At 58.8% G+C, this 23193-nt stretch overlaps 1 protein-coding gene across 4 annotated transcripts, besides 16 other annotated features; it reads left to right on the plus strand.

Annotated features, from left to right (window-relative positions):
• Window positions 1923-2616: an enhancer, noted in NCBI's record as "H3K27ac-H3K4me1 hESC enhancer chr8:22435755-22436448 (GRCh37/hg19 assembly coordinates)". NCBI's record gives its function as "activates a minimal SCP1, AML or CMV promoter by ChIP-STARR-seq in primed H9 embryonic stem cells {active_cell/tissue: H9 hESC(primed)}" and the evidence as "EXISTENCE:reporter gene assay evidence [ECO:0000049][PMID:30033119]".
• Window positions 1923-2872: a biological region, named in NCBI's record as "H3K27ac-H3K4me1 hESC enhancer GRCh37_chr8:22435755-22436448".
• PDLIM2 (PDZ and LIM domain 2) lies at window positions 2422-21707 on the plus strand. 4 transcript variants are annotated; one of them, NM_021630.6, is made up of 10 exons: window positions 2422-3208; window positions 4284-4378; window positions 5060-5211; window positions 8502-8571; window positions 8698-8843; window positions 9002-9080; window positions 12979-13055; window positions 13277-13422; window positions 15232-15349; window positions 17414-17979. In NM_021630.6, the coding sequence occupies exons 1-10, from the start codon at window positions 2461-2463 to the stop codon at window positions 17589-17591; spliced, it is 1809 nt and encodes a 602-aa protein (NP_067643.3). In that variant the 5' UTR covers window positions 2422-2460; the 3' UTR covers window positions 17592-17979. The 4 variants fall into 4 exon arrangements, with proteins under 4 accessions (NP_067643.3, NP_789847.1, NP_001355049.1 ...); NM_176871.5 differs by lacking the exon at window positions 2422-3208 and adding an exon at window positions 18211-21707 and having other exon boundaries at window positions 4156-4378; window positions 17414-17513; NM_001368120.1 differs by lacking the exon at window positions 2422-3208 and having other exon boundaries at window positions 4156-4378.
• Window positions 2473-2872: a silencer, noted in NCBI's record as "silent region_18993". NCBI's record gives its function as "represses an Ori minimal core promoter by ATAC-STARR-seq in GM12878 lymphoblastoid cells {active_cell/tissue: GM12878}" and the evidence as "EXISTENCE:reporter gene assay evidence [ECO:0000049][PMID:35858748]".
• Window positions 2943-3012: a silencer, noted in NCBI's record as "silent region_18994". NCBI's record gives its function as "represses an Ori minimal core promoter by ATAC-STARR-seq in GM12878 lymphoblastoid cells {active_cell/tissue: GM12878}" and the evidence as "EXISTENCE:reporter gene assay evidence [ECO:0000049][PMID:35858748]".
• Window positions 3113-3202: a silencer, noted in NCBI's record as "silent region_18995". NCBI's record gives its function as "represses an Ori minimal core promoter by ATAC-STARR-seq in GM12878 lymphoblastoid cells {active_cell/tissue: GM12878}" and the evidence as "EXISTENCE:reporter gene assay evidence [ECO:0000049][PMID:35858748]".
• Window positions 3213-3372: a silencer, noted in NCBI's record as "silent region_18996". NCBI's record gives its function as "represses an Ori minimal core promoter by ATAC-STARR-seq in GM12878 lymphoblastoid cells {active_cell/tissue: GM12878}" and the evidence as "EXISTENCE:reporter gene assay evidence [ECO:0000049][PMID:35858748]".
• Window positions 4103-4192: a silencer, noted in NCBI's record as "silent region_18997". NCBI's record gives its function as "represses an Ori minimal core promoter by ATAC-STARR-seq in GM12878 lymphoblastoid cells {active_cell/tissue: GM12878}" and the evidence as "EXISTENCE:reporter gene assay evidence [ECO:0000049][PMID:35858748]".
• Window positions 5390-6082: an enhancer, noted in NCBI's record as "H3K4me1 hESC enhancer chr8:22439222-22439914 (GRCh37/hg19 assembly coordinates)". NCBI's record gives its function as "activates a minimal SCP1, AML or CMV promoter by ChIP-STARR-seq in naive H9 embryonic stem cells {active_cell/tissue: H9 hESC(naive)}" and the evidence as "EXISTENCE:reporter gene assay evidence [ECO:0000049][PMID:30033119]".
• Window positions 5757-6051: a silencer, noted in NCBI's record as "tiled region #3420; K562 Repressive non-DNase unmatched - State 22:ReprW". NCBI's record gives its function as "represses a minimal TATA promoter and a strong SV40 promoter by Sharpr-MPRA in K562 cells {active_cell/tissue: K562}" and the evidence as "EXISTENCE:reporter gene assay evidence [ECO:0000049][PMID:27701403]".
• Window positions 8357-9026: an enhancer, noted in NCBI's record as "H3K27ac-H3K4me1 hESC enhancer chr8:22442189-22442858 (GRCh37/hg19 assembly coordinates)". NCBI's record gives its function as "activates a minimal SCP1, AML or CMV promoter by ChIP-STARR-seq in naive H9 embryonic stem cells {active_cell/tissue: H9 hESC(naive)}" and the evidence as "EXISTENCE:reporter gene assay evidence [ECO:0000049][PMID:30033119]".
• Window positions 12767-12916: a silencer, noted in NCBI's record as "silent region_18998". NCBI's record gives its function as "represses an Ori minimal core promoter by ATAC-STARR-seq in GM12878 lymphoblastoid cells {active_cell/tissue: GM12878}" and the evidence as "EXISTENCE:reporter gene assay evidence [ECO:0000049][PMID:35858748]".
• Window positions 13239-14239: an enhancer, noted in NCBI's record as "H3K4me1 hESC enhancer chr8:22447071-22448071 (GRCh37/hg19 assembly coordinates)". NCBI's record gives its function as "activates a minimal SCP1, AML or CMV promoter by ChIP-STARR-seq in naive H9 embryonic stem cells {active_cell/tissue: H9 hESC(naive)}" and the evidence as "EXISTENCE:reporter gene assay evidence [ECO:0000049][PMID:30033119]".
• Window positions 20783-21530: an enhancer, noted in NCBI's record as "NANOG-H3K27ac-H3K4me1 hESC enhancer chr8:22454615-22455362 (GRCh37/hg19 assembly coordinates)". NCBI's record gives its function as "activates a minimal SCP1, AML or CMV promoter by ChIP-STARR-seq in primed H9 embryonic stem cells {active_cell/tissue: H9 hESC(primed)}" and the evidence as "EXISTENCE:reporter gene assay evidence [ECO:0000049][PMID:30033119]".
• Window positions 21531-22278: an enhancer, noted in NCBI's record as "NANOG-H3K27ac-H3K4me1 hESC enhancer chr8:22455363-22456110 (GRCh37/hg19 assembly coordinates)". NCBI's record gives its function as "activates a minimal SCP1, AML or CMV promoter by ChIP-STARR-seq in naive and primed H9 embryonic stem cells {active_cell/tissue: H9 hESC(naive and primed)}" and the evidence as "EXISTENCE:reporter gene assay evidence [ECO:0000049][PMID:30033119]".
• Window positions 22665-22724: a silencer, noted in NCBI's record as "silent region_18999". NCBI's record gives its function as "represses an Ori minimal core promoter by ATAC-STARR-seq in GM12878 lymphoblastoid cells {active_cell/tissue: GM12878}" and the evidence as "EXISTENCE:reporter gene assay evidence [ECO:0000049][PMID:35858748]".
• Window positions 23090-23189: a silencer, noted in NCBI's record as "silent region_19000". NCBI's record gives its function as "represses an Ori minimal core promoter by ATAC-STARR-seq in GM12878 lymphoblastoid cells {active_cell/tissue: GM12878}" and the evidence as "EXISTENCE:reporter gene assay evidence [ECO:0000049][PMID:35858748]".

Here is a 23193-nt window from a genome sequence, read left to right on the forward strand (position 1 = left end):
TGGGATAACAAGCGTGAGCCACCGCGCCCAACCTTGAACAAGGTTTTATAGTCCTGGAGCTTGCAGGTCCCTGTGGGGTGGCAGTGGTGGCACAGTCCAGGCATGGCCACTCTGCCAAGAAAGGAAGCTCCGTTTCTCGGCTGCTGCTGAGAGGTGAGCAGGGCACCAGGGCCTCTCCGTGTGTTACCTAACATGAGCCTCACGATGGCAGGTCATGATTCCATTTTACAGGGGGAGAGACCCAGCCTCTGAGAAATTAAGTTGTCTAGCTCACATCATTATTAAATGCTGAAGTCAGGTCCACCTCACTTCCTGAAATCTACCAAATGCCCAGGCAGCCCTCGTCCAGGGCCCTCGTCCAGGCCCTTGGAGAAGGAAGGTCATGTGTGAGGTCAGGGACTTCTCTAGGGCGGCCCAGGTTGGGCCGCTTTTATGTTCTTCCTGGCAATCCTGTCTTCTAGGCCTGTCACCTGAGACAGGTGTGAAGAGGTGGTGGCTGGAGTGAAAGGTGGTGGTGCCCAGTTCTGTCAGGACAGAGGGGAGGGGCTCGTGGTTGACAGGGCAGTGGCCTAGCCCTGGCTGGTTTCTTGAACCTGGGTGCGGCCTGACCCAGCAGGGGTTCAACAGCAGCTGGAAGAACGAGTCCTCCATCCACCTCCATCCTCACCCTGGTTTGGTTCTAAATGGGCAGGTCCAGCCCATCCTGGCCTGGAAACAACCATTCCTCAGAACCCACTGGCCTGGTTGCCATTCCCCCATCCCAGCTCTTTTTTCATGAACTCCCTGATTCCCTCATAAAACATATCAGGGCTGAGGCCTCCTCTCCCTGGGACAGAGACCAACTCCATGCCCTCTCTTTGATGGAGCGCTGGCACTTCCCGCAGCTAACAAACCCTCCAACCCTGGGCTGCCTGCACCACGGTCCTGCCTGAAAGATGCTTCTGTGCCTCGACTTGGCCTGATTGGGGAGGTGAAGGGAGGATCAGAGGCTGCTGGAGATGGCTCACCCATGAGAGAGGGGAGGGCAGTGATGTGGCTTACCTAGGGCCACAGAGAGGCTATGAGCAGGACATGTCCCCTTCTGTGCCACAGAGGCGTGCCCTGCCTGGGTTCGCTGACTTGTCTTTGTGGTGGGTTTTGTGAATTCACAACCCACCCATCAGAAAGCCCTGCCAGATGAACCTGGGGCTATTTGTAGAGTCTGTCCAAGGCATGCAGGAGGGGCTCTCTGAGGAAATGATGGGCTTGTGTTTGATTCACTCTCCATTCCCAGAGGCAAGCACGGTGCCTGGCACTCAGTATTCACTGAATGAATGTTATTGGAATGATTGTGTGGAAGAATTGAATGGATGAACTTCCCTTCCTTTGGGTCCCTTCCCAGAAGTCCCCACCCCATTTGAGGCAGGGACTCTGTTTGACACCTCTGTGCCATCCTTGGCTTTTGCTTGTGGCCAAGCAATTTTTACAACAAGACGGTAAGCAGCACATTATCCCCATTTTCCACATGGGGAAACTGAGGCCCGGAGGAGCCGAGGAGGTTGCTGAAGGTCACACAGCCGGTGAGACGCAGCTGTGCACTTGGGGCTAGGTCTGTGTGCCCCCGGGGCTGTGCTCACCCTGCCTGTAGTTGCCTCTCCCCTCAAGGGGCTTCCAGTCTAGTCAGGGAGGCAGAGCAGGTACGTCAGGCCAGGCGGTCATGCCGGGAGGCCGGAGACCAGCCCGTGGGAGAGGAGTTTACACACACCCAGGACGGTCTGTGGGAGGAGGGGGGCCAGAGTGTGAACGCAAGGAGGCTGAGACGCGGGCACAGACAGGTGAGGGGCGTGGGGAGGGCACTCTTCACAGAGTGAGCGTGGAGGGAATGAGTCACACCTGAGGCAGGCGAGGCACAGCTGCGCCCACAGGTGTGATCCCCTGAAAACACAGCAGCCTGGCAGCCAGAGGCCAAGTGGAGACCCAACGAGAGGCGGCTCTATGGCCTTGAGGTCCCCGGAGAGAGGGTTGCCAGGTACGGCTTCTCCTCCCCGAGCTGGCACCGGGGTCCCCTCCTTGGCTGCCCTCTCCTCATCCTTATAGCCTGGGCTTCAGGTGCTTGAAAGAGGACAAGGGAGGGGGCAGGAAGCGGGGTGAAGACCTGCAGAGAGGATGAGGTGAGGGCCCACGGGAACGGGAAGGTACCAGCCCAGGGGTGGGGGTGCCCAGTGAACCCCTAGCCAGGAGGCTCTCTCCATCTCCTAGGGCCCCTGCGGGTCCCCCTTTGCGGGCATTCCAGGCAGAGAAGTTCTGCGCTGCCGAGAAGCCAGCGTTCAGGAAGGGAGTTGGCGGGCAGGAGGGTGGCCTTGGTTTGGGATTTGTGGGTGTCAAGGCCGCATCTGCGCCAGCCTCCCAGCCTGGAGTGGGTGGAGGAGCCAGGCGGACCGCAGACACACCCAGGCAGCCCACCCTGCCCAGGACCTGGGGATGCGGGGCGGGAGAGCGCGGCCGGCGTGGGAGAGCTTTATGGGGCTGCCCCCTCGATCGTCTGCGAAGTGGGGCGCGGGGCAGTCCCTGGACCGGCTCTGCTGTGCTCCGGGCAGTCGGGGGCTTGCGGGCGCTCCGGGGAGGATGCGGGCACCACCGGCTGGACGGTCGCAGCCTGCAGGGGGCCCTGGGGACAGCCTGCCTCATCCCCCCGGCGGGCTCGGGCCAGGTGGCAGCGCCTGGGCTCGCCGCGCGGAGGCGGCGGCTTCTCGGGCTAGGGGCGGCGGCAGGGGCGGCCCCGGGATCACATGGGCGGAGGCAGGTCCGGGAGCCCCGGGCGGGCTCTCCCCAGAGTCGGGTAGACGGCAGCGGGAGCGGTGGCGTCTCCCCGCCTTCCCTCCCTCCCGGGCCTGGGCGCCCAGCCGGACAGGTGAGCGGCAGCCAGGTGAGCGCGCCCACCTGCGCCTCTCCGCGCGGCCCGCCCTCCCCGGCGCCGGGCTCCTCTCCGCGCCCCTGTCGGCGCGGAACCCTGGCCTCGTCCGCGGCCCAGCTCCCTGGAGCCTCGCATCAGCGGGGGCGCCCCCGCGAGCTGCGCTCTCCCCGGCCGGAGCGCTCCTCCTCCAGCCCCCAGCCCGCAGGGTACTTTGCCCTCGGAGCGAAGGAGGCTCCAGAACTGGTAGAGCCGGGCCATCGGGCTGGGCACCTCCCCGCGGCGCCCGCAGCGCGGAGTCCACTGACCGGCTCAAAGGTCTGGGAATCTCGGGGCGGCCGCGAGCCGGCCTCGGGGACTGGGGTGGGGGCGGTGCTGGGAACAGAGGCTAGGCCTGGGCCCAAGGGGAAGGCAGCCGGGGATGGAGCGGACAGACCGCTGGTGCTCTTGATAGATTCTCGCAGCACTTGCGTCCCCAGGGCAGCCCCAGGATGGGTGCTGGGCAGGGTGGTGCCCAGCCTGGCACCGCGGCTTCCTGCCTGGATTGGCTCCTGGCTCCAGAGCTAGAGGCTCAGGAAATCCCACAGGGGTCTGTCTGCAAGGGCACTTCCTTGCCCAGCGGAGGGGCTGTGGATGGGAGGCCTGTCACCCCGGCTGTCTGTCGGGCAGCATCAGGAATCTGGGGGTGGGTGTGTCCAGCTTGACAGATGAACCCTGGCCTCCTTGCCCTGGCAGCCGGCCCCTGGGGGAGGTGGGGAGCCCGGTCTTGCCCGTGTGATCCACTTTGCCAAGAACGAGGTGGGCAGCTAGGAGGCCCATGTGAAGACTCGGCCTCACCCCACCAGTCCTTCACCTGGCCAGTGACTTACACAGTCTGTACTGGTGCCAGCCTGTTCCTTGACCCGTCACTCCTGCTTCCTGAGCCCTGCTCTCCCTAGGCCACTCACCAGCCCTCCCCCAGAGTGGAGAGGAAGTACCGTGTGCTGTGGGTTTTGGGGACAGGAAGCAAGCGCTAGTGGGACTGAGCCCTGATGGTGGAGGAGGGGAGACTGAGGGGGTGCTGGCATCCCCTCCACTTGCCAGCCCCTGCCCCCCATGCTCCAGCAAGCCCCCTGCCTGGCAGCCTGGGCAGCCCCCTCCTGGGAGTCGCTCCCTGGGCTGAAGACTAAGGAAGGGAGAACCCAGAAGCATGGCTTCCCAGGGTGGGGGGAAGTGAAACCGGGCTGAGGGAGGGAGTTAGCCACTTCCTCTACCCACCCCAAAGCCCCTGAGTAGCTGCTCCGGGAGCTGTGGTGCCCTCTCCTTCTCCCTTTGGCTCCTCTCCTGCTGCCTTACAGTGCCCCCAGAGCCGGCTAGGGGCATGGACTTCACCTCCTGGTCCTCTCTTCCTCAGGTATGGCGTTGACGGTGGATGTGGCCGGGCCAGCGCCCTGGGGCTTCCGTATCACAGGGGGCAGGGATTTCCACACGCCCATCATGGTGACTAAGGTAAGGATGGTGGCTCAAAGAGATGAGAAGGTCCTGCCAGAAGCGAGGTCGGCCCTGTTCACCCCACTCTGCACAGATGGCTTGCTTTTTCTGTTCTGGAGCTAGGGATCTGCTGCTGCCTGGCGTGCTGGCTGTAAGGGAGCCGTGGCCCTTTGCCACGGGGATGTGGTGGCCACTTCAGGAACAGACCTTGGGAGTGAAAGGGAGCTGGGACCAGGACAGGGCCGGCTCTTGCCTCCCCAGTTGCTATCCCCACACTTGCAGGCAGCCATTTGGGGTGATTACTAGAACAAGAGCCCCGGAGTTCTTGGCAGTCTCCTCTTGACCTGGGCCCAGGCTGGGAACATTCACAGGAGGGCTGTGCAGGCAGCCACCTGCAAGGTGCGATTTGCACGGGCAAGGCTCTCTATCCAAAAGTATTTCCAAGCACAGTTCCTGAAATTCTGCCACTGCACATTCTTTGGGAGGCCCATTAGAATGCCAGTGTGGGGTGGGGGCTGCCACCTGCGCTCCTGGAGGGGATGGCTGATCAGCTGGGTGTCATGAGCAGGCAGAGGGACATGCAGGAGGGTGCAGGCCGGCCTGGGTCAAGCCAGCCTCTGTGTTTCTTGGGTAGCAGAGTGGGAAGTCCCTTCTCCAGCTGGGCCACGGTCTGAGCATGCCAGCTCCTCATCCCTACAGGTGGCCGAGCGGGGCAAAGCCAAGGACGCTGACCTCCGGCCTGGAGACATAATCGTGGCCATCAACGGGGAAAGCGCGGAGGGCATGCTGCATGCCGAGGCCCAGAGCAAGATCCGCCAGAGCCCCTCGCCCCTGCGGCTGCAGCTGGACCGGTAGGGCCTCCCGCTCTGCAGAGCCTGTGGCATTCCCCCTCCTCCACCACCCCACGTATTGAGCAGCCCTTGCTCCTGCCCATGGGCTAGAGCTCAGCCCTAAAGCGGCCTTCTTGGGCCCTCTCCACACCTTGGTGAGAAGGTCCTGGGCTCTGCTTCCTGCAGCAGGGTGGGCTGAGGGGTGTTCCCATGCCTGGTTGGGTAAAGGTGGGCGCCAGGCTGGGCGTGCAGTCACAGGCTGGGCAGGGCGAGCTGGCACCAGCCACCTTGAAGCCCGGGTTTGACTGGTTCCCAAGAGTGTGCAGGGCACAGGGCGTGGGCATGAAGTGGGTTGAAGAGGGGAACCTTCTGGGAAAGGTATGCCCGAGGCTGCATCCCCAGGACTCCTGCTTCCAACAGGGCATGGCCTTTGTTTAGTTCCCAGCTGGAAGTGAGGACTTGGGGGGCTCATTCCTCATAGAGGCTGTCTGTTCCTCCCCATCACTGAAGGCAGATGCCCGATCCTGGGTTACTCCTAGGGTTTTGAGCCTATAAGCCAAGGTGGGGCCAGGGTGGGGCCTGGAGGCCAAGCTATAGGGGGAACAGGTGGCTCCCTGGGGTGGGGCATTGCAGTGAGTCACAGATCGGGAATGCCAGGAGATCCCCGAGCCAGGAGAGCCCTCTGCACGGGCCTAGAACCTGAGTCAGACACCTCTTGCATCCTGGCCACCCCCACATTGTCCTGCTCTCTTCAGCCCTACCAAGCCCCTCCTTCTCCAACTGCCCTGCCCTGTGGTGTGGCAGAAGCCGGCTCCCTTCATGTCATTCAGGTCCCTGGGTGTTTGCAGGAGCGGGACCCCAAGAAGGAGGGTAGAGAGCACCTCATGGCATCTGGGAATGGGGCAGAAAGCTACAGGAGGCTGAGGGTCTGGCAGCGGAAGGGCAGGAGCCTCGGACTGTCTCTTCCTCTGGGGTTCTCTGGAGGGACCAGGGCTCGGGGGAGGTAGGCCTGGGCTGTAAGTCAGGCCTCTGGTTCTGCACCAGGCAAGCCCAGACTCCAGTCTCTTAATTTTTTTTTTTTTTTTTTTTTTGAGACAGAGTCTCGCTCTGTTGCCAGGCTGGAGTGCAGTAGCGTGATCTCGGCTCACTGCCACCTCTGCCTCCCGGGTTCAAGAGAGTCTCCTGACTCAGCCTCCTGAGTACCTGGGACTACAGGCGCGTGCCACCACGCCCAGCTAATTTTTGTATTTTTAGTAGAGATGGGGTTTCACCACGTTGGCCAGGATGGTCTCGATCTCCTGACCTCGTGATCCACTTGCCTCAGCCTCCCAAAGTGCTGGGATTACAGGTATTACACCGCGCCCGGCCCAGTCTCCTTACTTTTGCTGACGTGATGCCCACCCCCCCCCCCGCCCCCATCTCCCGCCTCCTACCCTCCCAGGTGACCTCTCTGGTATTCAGAAGCCCTGGGGCAGGAAGCAGGGCTCCAGGCTGGAGCCAGAGACTGAGCTCTCCTCACCCTGATCCCATGGCTCTCCCAGGAAGCGGAGGGTCCTGTTGCCCTACATCTCTAGAGGCAGCCTCACGGCCAGGAATGTGTGGCAAGATGGGACGAGGCAGGCTGTCCCTCAGCCCAGACTTCAGTTACCTCCCATTCAGGGCTCCAGCTGGGTTCCACTTTGGAAGAGGGTACCCAGGGAGCTGGGAGGGCGTGCCCCTCTCGCTGGTGGGGAGCTGGGCCTACTTGTCTGGAAGGAGGCAGGCGGGTCTCGCCCTTTGTTTAACTGGGGAGACCCCTGAGAAAGGGATCAGGAGTGACGCGCTCAAAGGCACCCTGGCCTCCAGTGGGCAGGGTGCACAGCTGGCCCAGTCACCGTGGGCTCTAGAACTTGAGGCAGCTCACTTTCCCTCTCTGGGTTTCAGTTTCTCCATGGGTTAAAATATAAAGGATTATTTCTATGAAATCAGTAATCAGGCCGGGCGCAGTGGCTCACACCTGTAATTTCAGCATTTTGGGAGGCCGAGTCGGGCGGATCACCTGAGGTCAGGAGTTCAAGACCAGCCTGGCCAATACGGCGAAACCCCGTCTCTACTGAAAATACAAAAATTAGCCGGGCATGCTAGTGGGCACCTGTAGTCCCAGCTACCTGGGGGGCTGAGGCAGGGAGAATTGCTTGAACCCAGGAGGTGGAGGTTGCAGTGAGCCGAGATTGCACCACTGCGCTCCAGCCTGGGTGACAGAGCGAGACTCCATCTCAAAAAACAAAAAAATCAGTAATCTTCCCCCAAATCAATCTACAAACCCGAGGCTGAGTGATATCAGTGACAAAGTCCAGGCAAAATAGAAAAAAAAAAAAAAAAAAAAAAAAAAAAAAGGGCAGGATAATGTGAGGACTCTCTAATAAAACTGAATGTTTGAACTTTCTGATGAAGTTATGTACGTTCTACTTTTTAGAACCAAACTATCCTTTCTTTTTTTGGGGTGGGTTTTGCTGTTGTTACTGTCGTTTGAGATGGAGTCTCACTCTGTCGCCCAGCCTGGAGTGCAGTGGTACAATTTTGGCTCACTGTAACCTCTGCCTCCCTGGGTCAAGCAATTCTCCTGCCTCAGCCTCCCAAGTAGCTGGTGTTACAGGCATGCGTCACTATGGCTTGGCTAAATTTTTTTTTTTTTTTTTTTAATTAGAGATGGGGTTTCACCTTGTTGATGACCAGGCTGGTCTGGAACTCCTAACTTCAAGAGATTCACCCTCCTTGGCCTCCCAAAGTGCTGGGATTACAGGCGTGAGCCACCGTGCCCGGCCTTGGTGTTTTTTTGAGACAGAATCTCGCTGTGTTGCCCAGGCTGGAAGGCAGTGGCACAATCACGGCTCACTACAACCTCCATCTCCTGGGCTCAAGCGATCCTCCCACCTCAACCTCCCAAGTAGCTGGGACTACCGGCATGCACCACCATGTGCAGCTACTTAAAAAAAAATTTTAGTAGTCATGAGGTCTTCCTATGTTGCCCAGGCTGGTCTTGAACTCTTGGGCTCAAGTGATCCTCCTGCCTTGGCTTCCCAAAGCGTTGGGATGATAGGCGTGGGTCAATGTGCCTGGCCAACTGTCCTTTCTTTTAAGGAACCATGGTTGTCATTGATGATAGTTGTTTGTCTTGAGTTTGACAAAGTTAAAAGTTGACAACCGGATGTCCAAATTTTCTGTAGCTTTTACTGGTGTTGAGAACTAGATCTGGGAACAGTTTTGGCCTCTTTTGGGGGTTGCAGGGTGCAGGGCCCCTGTGACATTCCCTCCCTCTGTTGCCTTCTCAGGTCTCAGGCTACGTCTCCAGGGCAGACCAATGGGGACAGCTCCTTGGAAGTGCTGGCGACTCGCTTCCAGGTAAGCTGGTGCCCTCCCCTGACAGCCTCAGCACCCTGATCACTGGTGCATGAAAGTGAGGCCCGAGGGCAGGGCGGCCTTGGCGGGGCAGCCCTGCCTTTCCTGACACAGTCACTCTCTCCACAGGGCTCCGTGAGGACATACACTGAGAGTCAGTCCTCCTTAAGGTCCTCCTACTCCAGCCCAACCTCCCTCAGCCCGAGGGCCGGCAGCCCCTTCTCACCACCACCCTCTAGCAGCTCCCTCACTGGAGAGGCAGCCATCAGCCGCAGGTGAGTGTGCCTGTGAGTGGGTACCCTGGTCGCCTGCGCTGCCAGCTCCAGGCTGGCTCCTCTGAGTCTCAGGAGCTCTGCTTGGGAGCCCGGGGCAGCATCCTCCCTGGGCAGGCTGGGGGTGGCCCTGGCACACACTGTCCCTTTCCCACTTTCAGCTTCCAGAGTCTGGCATGTTCCCCGGGCCTCCCCGCTGCTGACCGCCTGTCCTACTCAGGCCGCCCTGGAAGCCGACAGGTGAGGCTCCCTGGGGGAGGACAGGCTGGAGGAACAGAAGCACCTCCCGTTCCTGTGGGTTGCCAGTGCCCCGGGACTGCAGGCGGCCAGGCCCACCTGGGCAGCCATGGCCTCCTTCTCCTGGCCACAGGCATGCTCTGCTCCTGAGCCAGGGAGGCCATGCTTCTGGTCGTGGGCCACCTGTGCTGTGCCCAAGACCTGCCCAGCAGTGCCCAGTAGCCCGTCCATCTCCTGCACCCCTCCCCTCATCCCCCTCCCCTCCCATCCTGCTGACTTCCTCCCTGCCCAGTATGTTTCTCTTGGGCTGTGGCTGAAATAGTTTCGCTGCTGTTGTTGGGATGATTCCCTTTCGTCTCTGGCTGCATCTCTCGAACACATTCCTCCCCATTCCAAGACCCGGGCCTGCCTGACTCCCACCCACACCCTCCCTTCCTCCTCTGACTCAGCCCAGAGATGCCCCAGTGGGACTGCGGTTCTGCCTTGAGCGCTCTTGGCTTATTCTGTCTCCTCCTCCCCCTACCCCCGCCAGCTCCCCTGGACTCTCTTTCAGCCAGGTCCCAGTGGCCCCTGGTGACAGCCTAACCCCCTTCCTGGGTGGTATTTCTCCTCTTCAACGGTGGGGGATGGTGAGGGAGTGAGGCAGCCAACAGCCCTGGGCCGCAGCTGCTGGGGACGGCGTGGGGGGCACGTCCAGCCTTTGGGGTGATGGGGATATGGCCCAGCTGCTGAGCCCTACCTTTGGGTTGATTCTGCATTCCAGAAAGCAGAGCCTTTGGGGGTGGCCAGGGAGGGCACTAGAACCCAGAGGCTCTGGAGGAGGAAGGAGCAGGATCTTTCTGGGGGCCTTCCGAACAGCGGCTGCCTAGTGACCCGCTGCGTGCCCACCCAGAGGCCAGCCTGGCACTGTGGCCATAGAGATATATTCCATGGGTCCCCTTGTTAAGGAATTGAAGATGCAGTTGTAGAGATAAGGCAAACTTGCAAAACAATTTTGGAGCAATTAGGCACTAAGCAGTGTGGTATTAATTACAAAAGCAGGAGGCGTTCTGGGAGGGGAGGGGAAGGAAGGCTGTGTGAGGAGTATTGCTGGACGTTAGAGGTGGTGGTGAGAGGGTTTAGGGAAGGATGAGCAGGAGGCCCGACATGCTGGGAGATGGAGAAACACTGGTCCGGGCGACGGCTGATGTATTGGGGCTGGGGGATTTTTTAGGGGGAACCTTTGTTCTGAGATGAGCCAGGAATGAGCTTGTTTCAAGAGGGCTGGTCAGTGTCAGTCCTGGCTCTGTTCCGCGACACCTCTGGTGGGCTGTGGTCTCAGCAGGACCCACGTGCTCAAGGGCAAGCCTTCCCGAGCTTCCCCATCGTGTTGCCCCCAGTCCAGGAAAATGAAGGGTGTGGGAGGTACAGAGGCATGGCTCCCAAACCAGCGGCAACACCTGAGAACTTGTTGGAAATGCAACTTCCCAGGCTCCAGCCTACACCCGCTGAATTGGGCATGGGGCTTGTGGGTCACGAGCCCAGAGCTGGGTGTGGGGAGACTCACTTGGGTCGGTCCCACCTCTGCCTGACGACTTGGACCAGCCCCCCTTCCTCTCCCTGGGCCTCAGGTCAGACTAGACGCTCTGAGTTCCCTTCTCTGACCTTGATGACTCTGCTCATTCCTTCGGCAAATATTTGTCGAGCAGCTGCTTCATGTCAGACACTCATCTGGGCTCTGGGGATGCAATCGTGGAAAAACAGAGTGACACCTCTGACCCTATGGAGCTGACGTTCTAGTCTACAAATGAGGCTGTGGTCCCACGGGTGCACAAGTCTCAGGGTCCCACAGCTGCCTTTTGAGAATCACTGTGTAGCTGGGTGCTGTGACATGTGCCTGGAGCCCCAGCTACTCCGGAGGCTGGGGCGGGAGGATTGCTTGAGCCCAGGAGTCCAGACCAGTTTGGGCAACATAGTGAAACCCCCATCTCTTTAAAAAAAATCGCTTATACTTGAGAGTCTTAAAGGCTCTAAGAGGTCCCATGAGAAAGAAACCCACTTAATTTTTCTTTATATCCTAAACTTGTTGAACAGCAGAATTTCTCCTGAATTTCTACCCCTGACCCCCTGCCCTGCCCTGCCCCACCCCCAGGAACATCCTTGCGTTCCCCAGCACACATTTCGAGAGGTGTTGGCTACAGACAAGCTCATGATGGGCAGGTGAAGGGGGAGCAGCTTTCCTGGATTTGGAGATAAAAGGTCTCTTCTGTGAAGGCAAGGGTCGCTAACCCCTAACCGCCTGGGAGGAAAGGAAGGAGAGAAAGACATTGTCTCTCCCAGTCGGGGAGCTGGTCTCCTTTTCTGGGCTGGGCAGTCTGGTGGGAGTGTGTGAGAGGAATGCTGTGGGCTGCAGAGGCAGGGGTGCTGTGTCCTTGTGGCCTCCTGACATGGCCAAGGCTGCAGAGAGCTGGAGGCTCAGGATGCCCTTATAGTGCCTCTGGAAATTACAGGTTCCCCCTGCTGGTAGGCACATGCCTTGGTGAGCAGAGGCCAAGTGAAAAAAGCCCCTCTCCCTCTGGTTGGGAATGAGGACTTGCCTCATGAAGGGATCCCGGGCCGGTGCCCTAGGCAGGGCCCATGGTGGTCTGTCTGGAGATGTGATGTGGCTCGTGAATTCCTGCGGAAACTATCTCTAGGTCCTTCAGGTGACCGCACAGCCCCGGGCAGTTGCCCTGGAGCCCAGGTGTGGAGTCCCAGCCCTGCCTCTGATGCTGCAGGTGGCTTGGACCAGCTACTTTGCCCTTCTGACCTGCAGTCTCCTTACCTATAGAACGTTTTACTGGAGAACCCTGAGAGCAGAGGGATGCGAGGCCAACTGCTGGTAGCAGCCTGGTGGGGTGAGGGTCTAGGGTTGTTTTCTTAAGATCCAGAAGTTTTTGCTTTAGCTTAAGGATGTGTGCAATTTTCCATGTGGCTTCATAATTCATCCATGACTTTGAATTTTAAAATGGAGAGAAGTTGGCTTCCCAGGAAATGGTGCCCCTGGCCCTGGGCATCGGCCCACCTGGCTGTCTCCAAGGCTCTCCTTCCCAGTGGCTGGTGCGGGCTCCGGGAGCTCAGCTGAGTCCCATTGGGGTGGCAACGGAAAGGGAGCAGGGGAGTGGGGAGTACGGAGATGCAGGCTGGAAACTGGCCTCCAGGAACAACTGTGAGGTTGAAGGCGAGATTTCCATGTTGGGAGCAAATTTAAGAGCCCCAGATGGACACGGCACACCTGGAGACAGGCACTGCTGCCTGAGTGTGGCCCAGGGAGGGCTCGGCTCCCCAAAGCTCCACGGGGCAGGCCCAGACCTCCCAGCAGAGTAGGGACAGGCTGGTTAGCCCAGACTCCCGCCTCTGAGGAGAGGAACCAGCTCTCCTTGGGAAGAGGGCCTCTGCCCTGGCCGGCCCTGACTCCCAGGGGACTTCGACCCCTTGCTTCATCCCTTTATGTTTCTATCTCCTCAGTGCAAAAGGGCAGCGTGCTTCCTCTCTGCTGGTTCCGTGGGATCGGAGCCAGGCCCCAGTGTGCAATGTCTTTGCACACAGATAATAGCGTGCGTGACAGAGGACTCTGTGCTTAGCTGTCACCTGCTGCCTTCCTGCTGCCCGGTCCCCGGCAGAACCCGCATGCCTCCCTCCCTCTCTGGACCCTGGCAGTCTCTGCGCCCTGGCTCCGAGGGAAGGGGCAGGGGGCCCGCTGGTCGGCGAGGGCTGGGAGCCCCCGACACCTTGGCTCCAAGGGAAGGGGCAGGGGTCCGCTGGTCGGCGAGGGCCGGGGGCCCCCTGGTGTCGGGCCTGGGAACAGCCGGGCTAGGCCCTCCTGGGTGTGTTGGCCCAAGGCTCTGGCCCTGACTCCTCCCCGGCTGCCTCCTCCCAACAGGCCGGCCTCGGCCGCGCTGGCGACTCGGCGGTGCTGGTGCTGCCGCCTTCCCCGGGCCCTCGTTCCTCCAGGCCCAGGTACCAGCAGGCCCCGGAGGGTCGGGTTGGGGTCTTGGAAGGCTGGGAGGGGCAGGAGGGAGACGGGCTTCCCCGAGAGGGATGGGGTCCCCCAAGCCCAGTTGGCTCCTCCACCTCCCAGATTCCTCCCCCTCCCCCACGCTCTTCTCCTGCCCCCCACCCCCTTGCTTGCCTAAGCTCCGGCACGGGACCCTCATTCCTGGCTGCCTCCCACCCTGCAGCATGGACTCGGAAGGGGGAAGCCTCCTCCTGGACGAGGACTCGGAAGTCTTCAAGATGCTGCAGGAAAATCGCGAGGGACGGGCGGCCCCCCGACAGTCCAGCTCCTTTCGGCTCTTGCAGGAAGCCCTGGAGGCTGAGGAGAGAGGTGAGGGTCTGGGGGGCTGGGGAGGGGAAGGAGGTTCCCTTCCGTACCCCGGGCCCTGACTGGATGGGTCAGTGAACCAGTGTTCTTAAGTGCCTGTGAGGTGCTCACCCCAGGACTAGGCACGGAGCCGAGCAGAGCGCGAAGCCCCAGCCCCTGCCCATAAGGAGCTGACGGTCCGGGAGGGTCCGGGAGGGTCACCAGCGTGCTCCCACAGAGTAGTGGGCAGTAGCCAGCTGGGATGGGAAAGTGTCATTCGAGTGATAAAAGCGGTGGCAGGGCCTGGGGCTGGGCCTCCAGGGAGGGCTTCTTGGAGGAAGAGGGATTTGACTTGGCCTCTTGGCCTTAGAAAAAACATCAAGACTTAAACAGCATTAAGAGGGTGGCAGGAAGCACTGTGGAAGGTGGAGGCTGGCGGCCAGAGGGCTTTGGGGTGTGGGAGTGAGAGAATGGGGGCCTGATAGCATGAAAGGGCGCCAGTGGAGGCCAAGCCCCTGCAGTGAGGGCCCTCGGGAAGGGAATCAGGCTGAGGAGTGCCCTAACCCAGGAAAGCCATTAAATACTGATGCCAGGCGAGCAAGACATACGGAGGCTTGCCAGAGTTCCGTTATTCATGTGACAGACACTGACTGTGCCCATCTGAGGGACCAGATGTGTGCAGAGTTTGGGGATAGGTGGCCATGACCCCACTCCTGCCCTTGGGGAGCTCCGTTCATTGGGGCAGATGGGCCTGGCCAGCTCCCATGGAAGTGAGCGCTGCTGTGGGAGTTACTACTCCCACAGCCCCTGTCCTTAAGGTGCTCAGCACCAATGCCCTCTAGAACAGTGGGGAGAAGGGGAGGGAGATGACAGGACAGGTAGGAGAGTGGCCAGAGAGGCTTCATAATTCATCTATGACTTTGAATTTTAAAATGGAGAGAAGCTGGTTTCCCAGGAAATGGTGCCCCTGGCCCTGGGCACTGGCCCGCCTGGCTGTCTCCAAGGCTCTCCTTCCCAGTGGCTGGTGTGGGCTCCTGGACCTCAGTTGAGTCCCATTGGGGTGGCAATGGAAAGGGAGCAGGGGAGTGGGGAGTACAGAGATGCAGGCTGGAAACTGGCCTCCAGGAACAACTGTGAGGTTGAAGGTGAGATTTCCATTTTGGGAGCAAATGTAAGAGGCCATATGGACAGGGCACACCTGGAGATTGGCAGGTGGCTGGTTCTAACGCTGATGTTTAGCTCCAAGGGGCATTTGCAGAGGCACAGGGGGTGGGGTGAGAAGGTTTGGAGCAAATCTGGTCTGTTTTGACCCTGAGGCCTCAGAAGGTCCCAGGAGGCAGCACAGGGAGAGAGCAGTGACTTTGCCAAGGAGGCCTCAGCGTCCTTAGCTGCAGACGGGCGACAGCTGCCCCGTAGCCCTGGGCTTCATCTTCGTGTGGCTTGAGAGCTCAGATGTGACAAGGCATGGAAAAGCACTTTGAAAGCCACACCGAGGCATTGCGCTCCTGTTGCCATCTCCAGTTATTATCTAATCACACTGTTATTACCAGGTCATTAGAGAGGGAGCACCTGCTTCACCTGACACTGAGCACAGATGGCCCCAGGTGGCCTTGGATGGGCAAACTCGGCCTTGTACCTGCCTCCTTCATGCCCTTGCCCAGCCTCAGCCATGGATCTGGCAAGATCACCTTCCTCCTTACCTGGTGCCACTGTCAGCGTGACTTTAGGGTTTCTCTTATAAGGGTGCTTTCCAAGACCACCTCCTCAGAGCATCTTTGGGAGGATGCTGTGGTTGGTGGGCTCTCACCACATGTCTGTCTGCCCTGCCCCCAGGTGGCACGCCAGCCTTCTTGCCCAGCTCACTGAGCCCCCAGTCCTCCCTGCCCGCCTCCAGGGCCCTGGCCACCCCTCCCAAGCTCCACACTTGTGAGAAGTGCAGTACCAGCATCGCGTGAGTGTGGAGGGGGGTGGGGGACCTGAGCCTTCACAGGGGAGTGGGGAGGGGGACAGGGCACTGGATGCTTTCAGGAAGGGCCGGGCCCATCAGGGGCTAGCACTGGGTACCCAGTCGGGGACTCTAGGGGAAGCAGTGTTGCACAGCTTTGGGGGCATTAGTTACAGGCTTCTTAGGAGCCTAGGCTAGCTGCTTCCGGCTGCATCTCCTCTCCCTCTCCTCCTTTTCCCATCCCTTTTGATTTCTCTTTGATCATTTCAAAGCCTCTGGAGATCTGCCCGGAGGTACAGCACATCCTCTTGGAAAATCTTGCTCTTTCCCCTTCTTCCCCCTTTGGAGCAGGCTGCATTTTTCCCGATGTGGGCTCATTTTTCTTATTTTTCTTTTCTTTTCTTTCTTTCTTTTCTTTTTTTTTTTTTTTTTTTTTTGAGACGGAGTCTCATTCTGTTGCCCAGGCAGGAGTGCAGTGGTGCAATTTCAGCTCACTGCAAGCTCTGCCTCCCAGGTTCACGCTATTCTCGTGTCTCAGCCTCCCGAGTTGTTGGGGCTACAGGCTCCCGCCACCACTCCCAGCTAATTTTTGTATTTTTAGTAGAGACGCGTTTTCCCCATGTTGGCCAGGCTGGTCTCAAACTCTTGACCTTAGGTGATCCGCCTGCCTCGGCCTCCCAAAGTGCTGGGATTACAGCGTGAGCCACCATGCCCAGCCGAGGTGGGCTCATTTTTCTCATTAAGTGGCATTTATAATGCAACCACATTCTCTGGAAGGTTGCTGAAACCCCCCCTCAGGTAAATTTCTGAAGTGTGTAGTGTGGGAGGGGCAGGTGATTGACTTTAGGCAAATCCCTTAACCTCTCTGGGCTTTAGTGTTTTCATCTGCAGAGTGGGAGAATATCCAGTCCCCCTGCTGTGCAGAGATAGGGAATGTGTGTTGAAAAAGCATGTTTTCCATCCTGGTTCTCAAAGGTGTGTGTGTCGGGTCCCTTGGAGGGTTTGTTAAATGCCGATGGCTGGGCCCCACCCCAGAGCCTCCTCTCCAGGAGGCCAACAGGCCTGAGAATGTGCATTTCTCACGAATTCCCCAGTGATGCGGATGCTGCTGGCTGTGGGACCCAGGACCACACTGAGAATCACTGCTCTGTTAAAAATCCAGGCAATGTGGGACGGACTTACAGTCTTTATGTGAGAGGAACAACTTTTAAAAAAAATTTTTAATATTTTTAATAGAGTTTCACTCTGTTGCTCAGGCAGGAGCGCAGTAGTGCCGTCATGGCTCACTGCAGCCCCAAACTCCTGGGCTCAAGTGATCCTCCCATCTCAGCCTCCTGAGTAGCTGGGACTACAGGCGTGTGCCACCATACCTGGCTAATTTTTAAATTTTTTGTAGAGATGGGGTCTTGCTATGTTGCCCAGTTTGGTTTCAAACTCCTGGCCTTAAGTGATCTGTCCACCTGGGATCCTAGGCATGGATTACAGGCGTGAGCTACTGTGCCTGGCTGACTTATTTATTTTTATTATTTTTAATTAGGGGTCCCAGCAGTGGCAGCGGTGGTGGGGGTTTGTGTGTGTTAGGGGGTTTGTCAAAGTGAGATTCCTGTGTGCAGCTTCAAGAATCAAGTCTCGGGCCGGGTGCAGTGGCTCACGCCTGTAATCCCAGCACTCTGGGAAGCCAAGGAGGGTGGATTACCTGAGGTTGGGAGGGCAAGACCGTCCTGGCTAACACGGTAAAACCCGTCTCTACTAAAAATACAAAAACTTAGCCAGGTGTGGTCGCACATGCTTGTAATCCCAGCTACTCAGGAGGCTGGTGCAGGAGTATCGCTTGAACCCGGAAGGTAGAGATTGCTGTGAGCTGAGATCACACCATTGTATTCCAGCCTGGGCAACAAGAGCAAAACTCCATCTCAAAAAAAAAAAAAAAAAAAAAAAAAAGTCTAGTCTCTGAGAAGGCTTTGGGCTCCACCCAGGTCCTGATGCTACAGTGGGGACCAGGCCCCCTGGGCATGGTGGCCTCCTGCTTGGTGCTGTGGCTCTGAGCTAAAGCCTCTCCCTCCCCTTCAGGAACCAGGCTGTGCGCATCCAGGAGGGCCGGTACCGCCACCCCGGCTGCTACACCTGTGCCGACTGTGGGCTGAACCTGAAGATGCGCGGGCACTTCTGGGTGGGTGACGAGCTGTACTGTGAGAAGCATGCCCGCCAGCGCTACTCCGCACCTGCCACCCTCAGCTCTCGGGCCTGAGCCCGCCATGCCCTCAGCCTGCCTCACTGCTGGGCCAGGGTCATGCCTATATAAGTTGGCATGGCAGGGACAATGGTGGGCAGTTGCTCTTACATGAGCTAAGTTTGGAGACCTGAGGCCCCTTTGTCCTCGCTGGGTGGGCCAAGGTCTGGGACCTGTCTTGGACTGTGGGAGACTCACCCTCACCTTGCCAGGCCTCTCCCCTGCAGGACTGGCATTGCACTAGTCTGAGGTGGCCACTGCCTTTGATCAACCTTTGTGTGCGAGGGTCTAAGTAGGGTCGAACACAGAAGTGGGAAGGAGAGGGGTGGGCCAGGGGCTAATGGTGTCACTGTGTAAAGTTTTTGACATACTAGCTCTATAAATATATGAATATGGACAAAATAAAGTAGATGTCCCTTCCTTCTTTTTCCTACCGCCAGCCCTGGGTATGACCTGCTCCCACCACTGGGTGGAGGGTCTTTATTTATGCAACATACGTTTCTTCTTCTTTTCCCTCCCTCAAATCCCACCCCTGCCAGTTGCCTGCACCTGACATTTCCCATGGAAGGGCCTTGCCTCTTTTAGGTTGGGAGTCATGTCATTCCTTAACCTTTTTGTAAAGATGCCCGTTTTACAGGAGGACGCTTGTGCTATGGAGGGAATGAGATTGTCACTGGAAGCTTTGGAGGGGATGGTGGAGGGCGCCAAGCGGAGGGACAGGAGGAAGACCAGGAGACCCATCCAGCCAAGCTGGTGAGACAACCTCTGATCCTGAGGACCGGCCGCCCACCAAGGGTTGGGCCCCCGGGGCCAGGTTGATCTACCGACACCTTCCACTTCTTTCCTGGGAGAGACTGCTGGCTTCATTGGTGATTGATTTGGAGGGGGGAAAAAGGGCAGGGTGGCTCAGGCTTTAGGCCCAGGTACTGGGGAGGCCTGAGGAGCCCTCCTGGAGCTCAGGAGGCCGAGGCTGCCTTAAGCTGTGATCATGCCACTGCATTCCAGCCTGGGAGAGAGAGAGGACCTGTCTGTTGAAAAAAACACAAAAACAAATGAATGCATGTGGCCAGTGCCAGGTGAGCTGCCCTGGGGGTTCACTGGAGTTGAGGCAGGGGACAGTAGTCTCCCCTGCCAGCCTAGGATTTTGGGCGTCATTCACCCACTACCCCTAGTGCTAGTCCCAGAGGATGCTGCGGAGGGGGCAGCCTCAGCTCTCTTTTCAGAGAAGATCAAAGCTGGGCTTCCCAGGGTGCCTGGCTGGTCCCTGCCGGCAGCTTTGTGCTCTCCGGCTCTTTGTGAAAGGAATCTTGGCGCAGATGTTTGTGTTGCCTCCTCAGGCACCTGTAGATATAATTTACACCATGATATCATTGTCTCACCTTTTGCCTGGGTGGCTGCCTGAGAAAGGTCTTTCTTTTTATAGAAAAGATCAAGGCTGTCTGGCGCGGGACTCCATGAGCCCCAGGCGCTGGTCAGAAACGGGGTAGTCTCTTTGGCGCCACCTAGTGTCCAGTTTGGCCCATGGCGGGGCCCATTCACGGGGCAACACTGGGCTTCTGGGCACAGCGGGAATACAGAAAGATACAGCACTCCTCATGCCTTCCTGGAGGTAGAAGGCCAGTGGCAGCGACTGAGCTGGCATGAATGAATAAGAGGATGTGGCACTGAGCGCCAAGGGCTACCTTGGAACGCACCGAGGAGCGTCCCGTGAGTTCAAAGCAGTGGCCGTGATGCAAAAGGAGGGCTGGGTCTTGGAGACGTGGAGAAGAGGAATGCTGAGTGATGGGGTGGCTGCTGGGGGGATGCTTAGCTCAGAGCAGTGGCTGATGGGGACACTGAGATAAGATCGGAGGGGAGCTGTCAATGCCAGAAGTGGTTTGAACTTCCCCTTGAGGCTCTAGGGACATTTTGTTTTGAGACATGGTCTTGCTCTATTGCCCAGGCTGGAGTGCAGTGGTACAATCTTAGCTCACTGCAGCCTCCACCTCCCAGGCTCAAGAGATCCTCCCACAGCCTCCCAGGTAGCTGGGACTACAGGCGTGCACCACCACACCCAGCTAATTTTTAAGTTTTTTTTTTTTTTTAAGAGATGGGGTCTCACTATGTTGCCCAGGCTGGTCTCGAACTTCGGGCCCCAAGCCATCCTCCCACCTTGGCTTTCCAAAGTGTTGGGATTACAAGCGTGAGCTAACCTTGCCCAGCCTCTGGGAACACTTGGAAGGTTTTAAGCAGAGAAGTGACAGGTTGGAAAAGATGGTTTGGATTATTGATATGGACAGATTCCCACCTGTATGTAGCACGCCATGCTGGGCCAGCAGTGTCATAGGAGTGGAGGGGGATAAGTGGGGACTGGGGACATGTGAAATGATGGGCATTCCAGTGAGGCATCGAATGCCTTCTGAGGGCTTTGTAGGTTCCAGCTCAAATCCCCCTCTGGCTCTTGTTCTTTGGTGTGGCAGCCATCTCTCCTCCCAGGGGTCCTGAGGGTTTCAGCACCAGGGTTCTCTGCAGCCACACAATCAGCCCGGCTCGGGAGCAAACTCCCCTGGAAGAACGGAGTTATGAGTTGGTCAGCAGAGGAGGCTGGGGACAGGCAGTTTTTGGTCTTTTACCTCTGATCTTGTCCCCAACCTAAGCCAGCTAGCTGCGTGCTCCCACTCCCTCTGCCGCACGCCGCCCGTCTATGTTCCCGGACTTTGTCCAGTGCAGTGCCCTCTTCCCTTCCTGCACTGAGGAGATTAACTGAAGTGACAGATTAGAGTTAGAAGTGGCCCAAAGGAGCATCTGGTACAACCCCCTTTGGTTAGAGAAGGGAAAGTGACTTTTCCAAAGCTGCACAGCTAGACAGTCATAATGGCTAAGCTCTGGGGGTGCTTTTGATGTGCTAGGGATACTTCCAATGCTTTAACTCACTTAATCCTCACAACCCGAGATAGGTACTGTTACCATCCTCTCTGCAGACGAGGAAACCGAGGACCAGGAGGTTCAGTAAATGGTCCAAGTACTCCTAGCTAGTAAGGAATGGATCTACAGCCTGCCTCCCAGGTTTCTGGCTTGTGGGGGGCAGAGTTTGTCCCTCTGTCATCAGAGGCAGCCTTCCAGGCACAGCTCTGGTCACCTCTGGTCACAACTGGAGGTCACCACAGCCCTCCCCAGCGCTCTGTAGGCTCTCAGCTTTGTGCTTCCTCCCACGGGTACTAGCTCCAGCTGAGCTTGCAGGAAACCCACTTCCTGAAGCCAGGACTTCCCCATGGGAAGTGCAGGGGCCACTGGGCAGCCTGAGGGCTGACCCTGCTCAGGACACTGTCTGTCTCAGGAACTCATGGCAGTGGTTTACCTTGTCAGGAGTGCATGGACGGGCTGCCCCTCCCATTCCTTCAAGCATCACTCAGAGAGCCCTGGCCTGGCTCTAGGCTTGGGACTGCGGCTGCCACAGGAAGGGGGCATCCCCCTACTTTGGGTGTTGGGTCAGATCCTGCCCCCGTGCCCGCCAGGGCTCAGGTTCCTCTGAGCTGGTCCTGGGCCAGGACGCATCTGCATGGCGGTGGTGGGGAGGAGGGGTGCGCCATGGCCTGGAGGGGAGTGTGTGTTGGGGTGTGTGTGTGGAGGTTCTTTTGAGTCACACACAAAGCATTGTGCTGAGACACTGCATTCCTGCTGGCTGGGCTTCCTGTTTCCAGATGCATTCCTGTCCCAGAGTCACCACAGAGACTGTTTGGAATCCCGCCCCACATTCTCCAAATTCAGGGCGCGATCTGGCAAAGGCTCCCTCCCCCACCCTCTTACTTTGGAGGGAGTCTGGGCTCCCTCCTACCCAGGGAGGGCTGGCAGGGCTCTGGCACGGCCGGGGTGTGATTCCACACATCTTCTTGGTCTTGCATAAGGCAGTTCCTGGAGACCCAGCACTCTGGTTCTCTCTCTGCCTGTGAGAAGCGGAATGGGTACTGTCTAGGAGGACTGGGCAGGGTGGGGGCAACCCAGAGGACCCATGGCTAGCAGGGAAGGGCCTGGGCTTGAATGTGACTCTGTTGAGACATGGCCAGCAATTCTGGCACTTGGCTGTCATTCGGCTGGCCTGCGCAGAGATTGGCTGTGGGCCTCAGTTTCCCCATTTTATAAAGTTTTAAAATCTGATAGTTTGTGGCTCTCTGATAAAGGCTCCTGCAGTGGGTGTTTGGGGACTGGTTCCAGAAAGGAGCAAAGGGAAGGGGATGCACAGACTGTCTTACCCCTCCCGGTAAACAGCCACTTCCTTCCAGTGGCTCTGGCTCCAGCCTCTCCCCTCCCCTAGAGGTCCAGGTGCTAGTCTGCACGTCCTCCAGCTCCCTTATCTGCCTCCGGGGGATTTGGGTCCTGCTGGGATTTTTCCAGCCCTGCCCCCTCCCTCTGGAGGAGGTGCCTTCTTTAGAGGACACCAGCCCCAGTCTGGTCACCAGGCTCTCTCTCATCTTCAGTAGCTTCTTGGGCTCCTTTTAGGTTGGGGACTGAGGGGTGGAATCCCACGGGCCAAAGGCAGGGTGAGGTGGGAACAGGGGGACATTTACACTTTGGCCCAGTCTCCAGGCGGCTCCCCGCTGGCTCGCATCTTTCCAGACCTTGAGACCTACCCAGTCCCCAGCTTTAGGGAGCCCGGGATGAGAAAGAGGCAGGGGACCGGGAGGGGGTTCAGATCTAGCTGAGGACACACGCGCGTTCTGCAGTTGTAAAAGATTTCCCGGTGGGCAGGATCGTTTCCCCTCCCATCGCCCAGGTTTCCGAGCGGCCAAGAGACTGGCCCCCAAGCCACACTGCTAGGGAGCGCCGGGTGCCCGCGTCCTGGTCAGCGCTCTTCCCACCGCCAGCACGTGGGGCTCCCATTTCCTTCCTGGCTCTTGTCCGGTCCTCCAGCCAGCCCCGGCTCTAAGTCCGCGGCAGGAAGACGGACGCTGCGTGTGAACCCGCGGGGCCGGGCGGACCGGCGCCCCGAGCCAGACGGCGTCCCCAGGCGGGGGCCGGGTCCTCGCAGAACAGCTGATCGGGACCCTTATTTTGGCCACAGCCACAGTTGGGGGCGCCACCCAGTCCGTGCCTTCGACCTCGTTCTTGGCGACCCGGCCACCTGCGCCCCCCACCTGGCACCCTTGCCTTCCCTCCTCTCGCCCCTCCCCTCCCTCCTCTCGCCCCTCCCCTCTCCTCTCCCCTCCCCTCCCTCTCCTCTCCCCTCCCCTCCCTCTCCTCTCCCCTTTCCCTCTCCCCTCTCCTCTCCTCCCCTCTCCCCTCTCCTTTCCTCCCCTCTCCCCTCTCCCCTCCCTCTCCTCTGCCCACCCTCTCCTCGCCCCTCCCCTCTCCCCTCCCTCTCCCCTCCCCACCCTCTCCTCTCCCCTCCCCTCGCCCTCCTCTTCCTCGCCCCTCCCCTCCCTCTCCTCGCCCCTCCCCTCCCTCTCCTTTCCCCTCCCTCGCCTCGTTCCTCTCATCCCTCGTCTTGCCCCGCCCCTTTCTCCTCGCCCCCTTCTCCTCGCCCCTCCCCCTTCCCCTCGCCCCTCCCCTCCTCTCGCCGCTCCCCTACCTTGCCTCGCCCCTCCCCTCCCTCGTCTCGCCCCTCCCCTCTCTCCTCGCCCCTCCCTTCCTCGTCTCGCTCTTC

Source organism: Homo sapiens, chromosome 8 (genome assembly GCF_000001405.40).
Source record: "Homo sapiens chromosome 8, GRCh38.p14 Primary Assembly".
Taxonomy (NCBI): domain Eukaryota; kingdom Metazoa; phylum Chordata; class Mammalia; order Primates; family Hominidae; genus Homo; species Homo sapiens.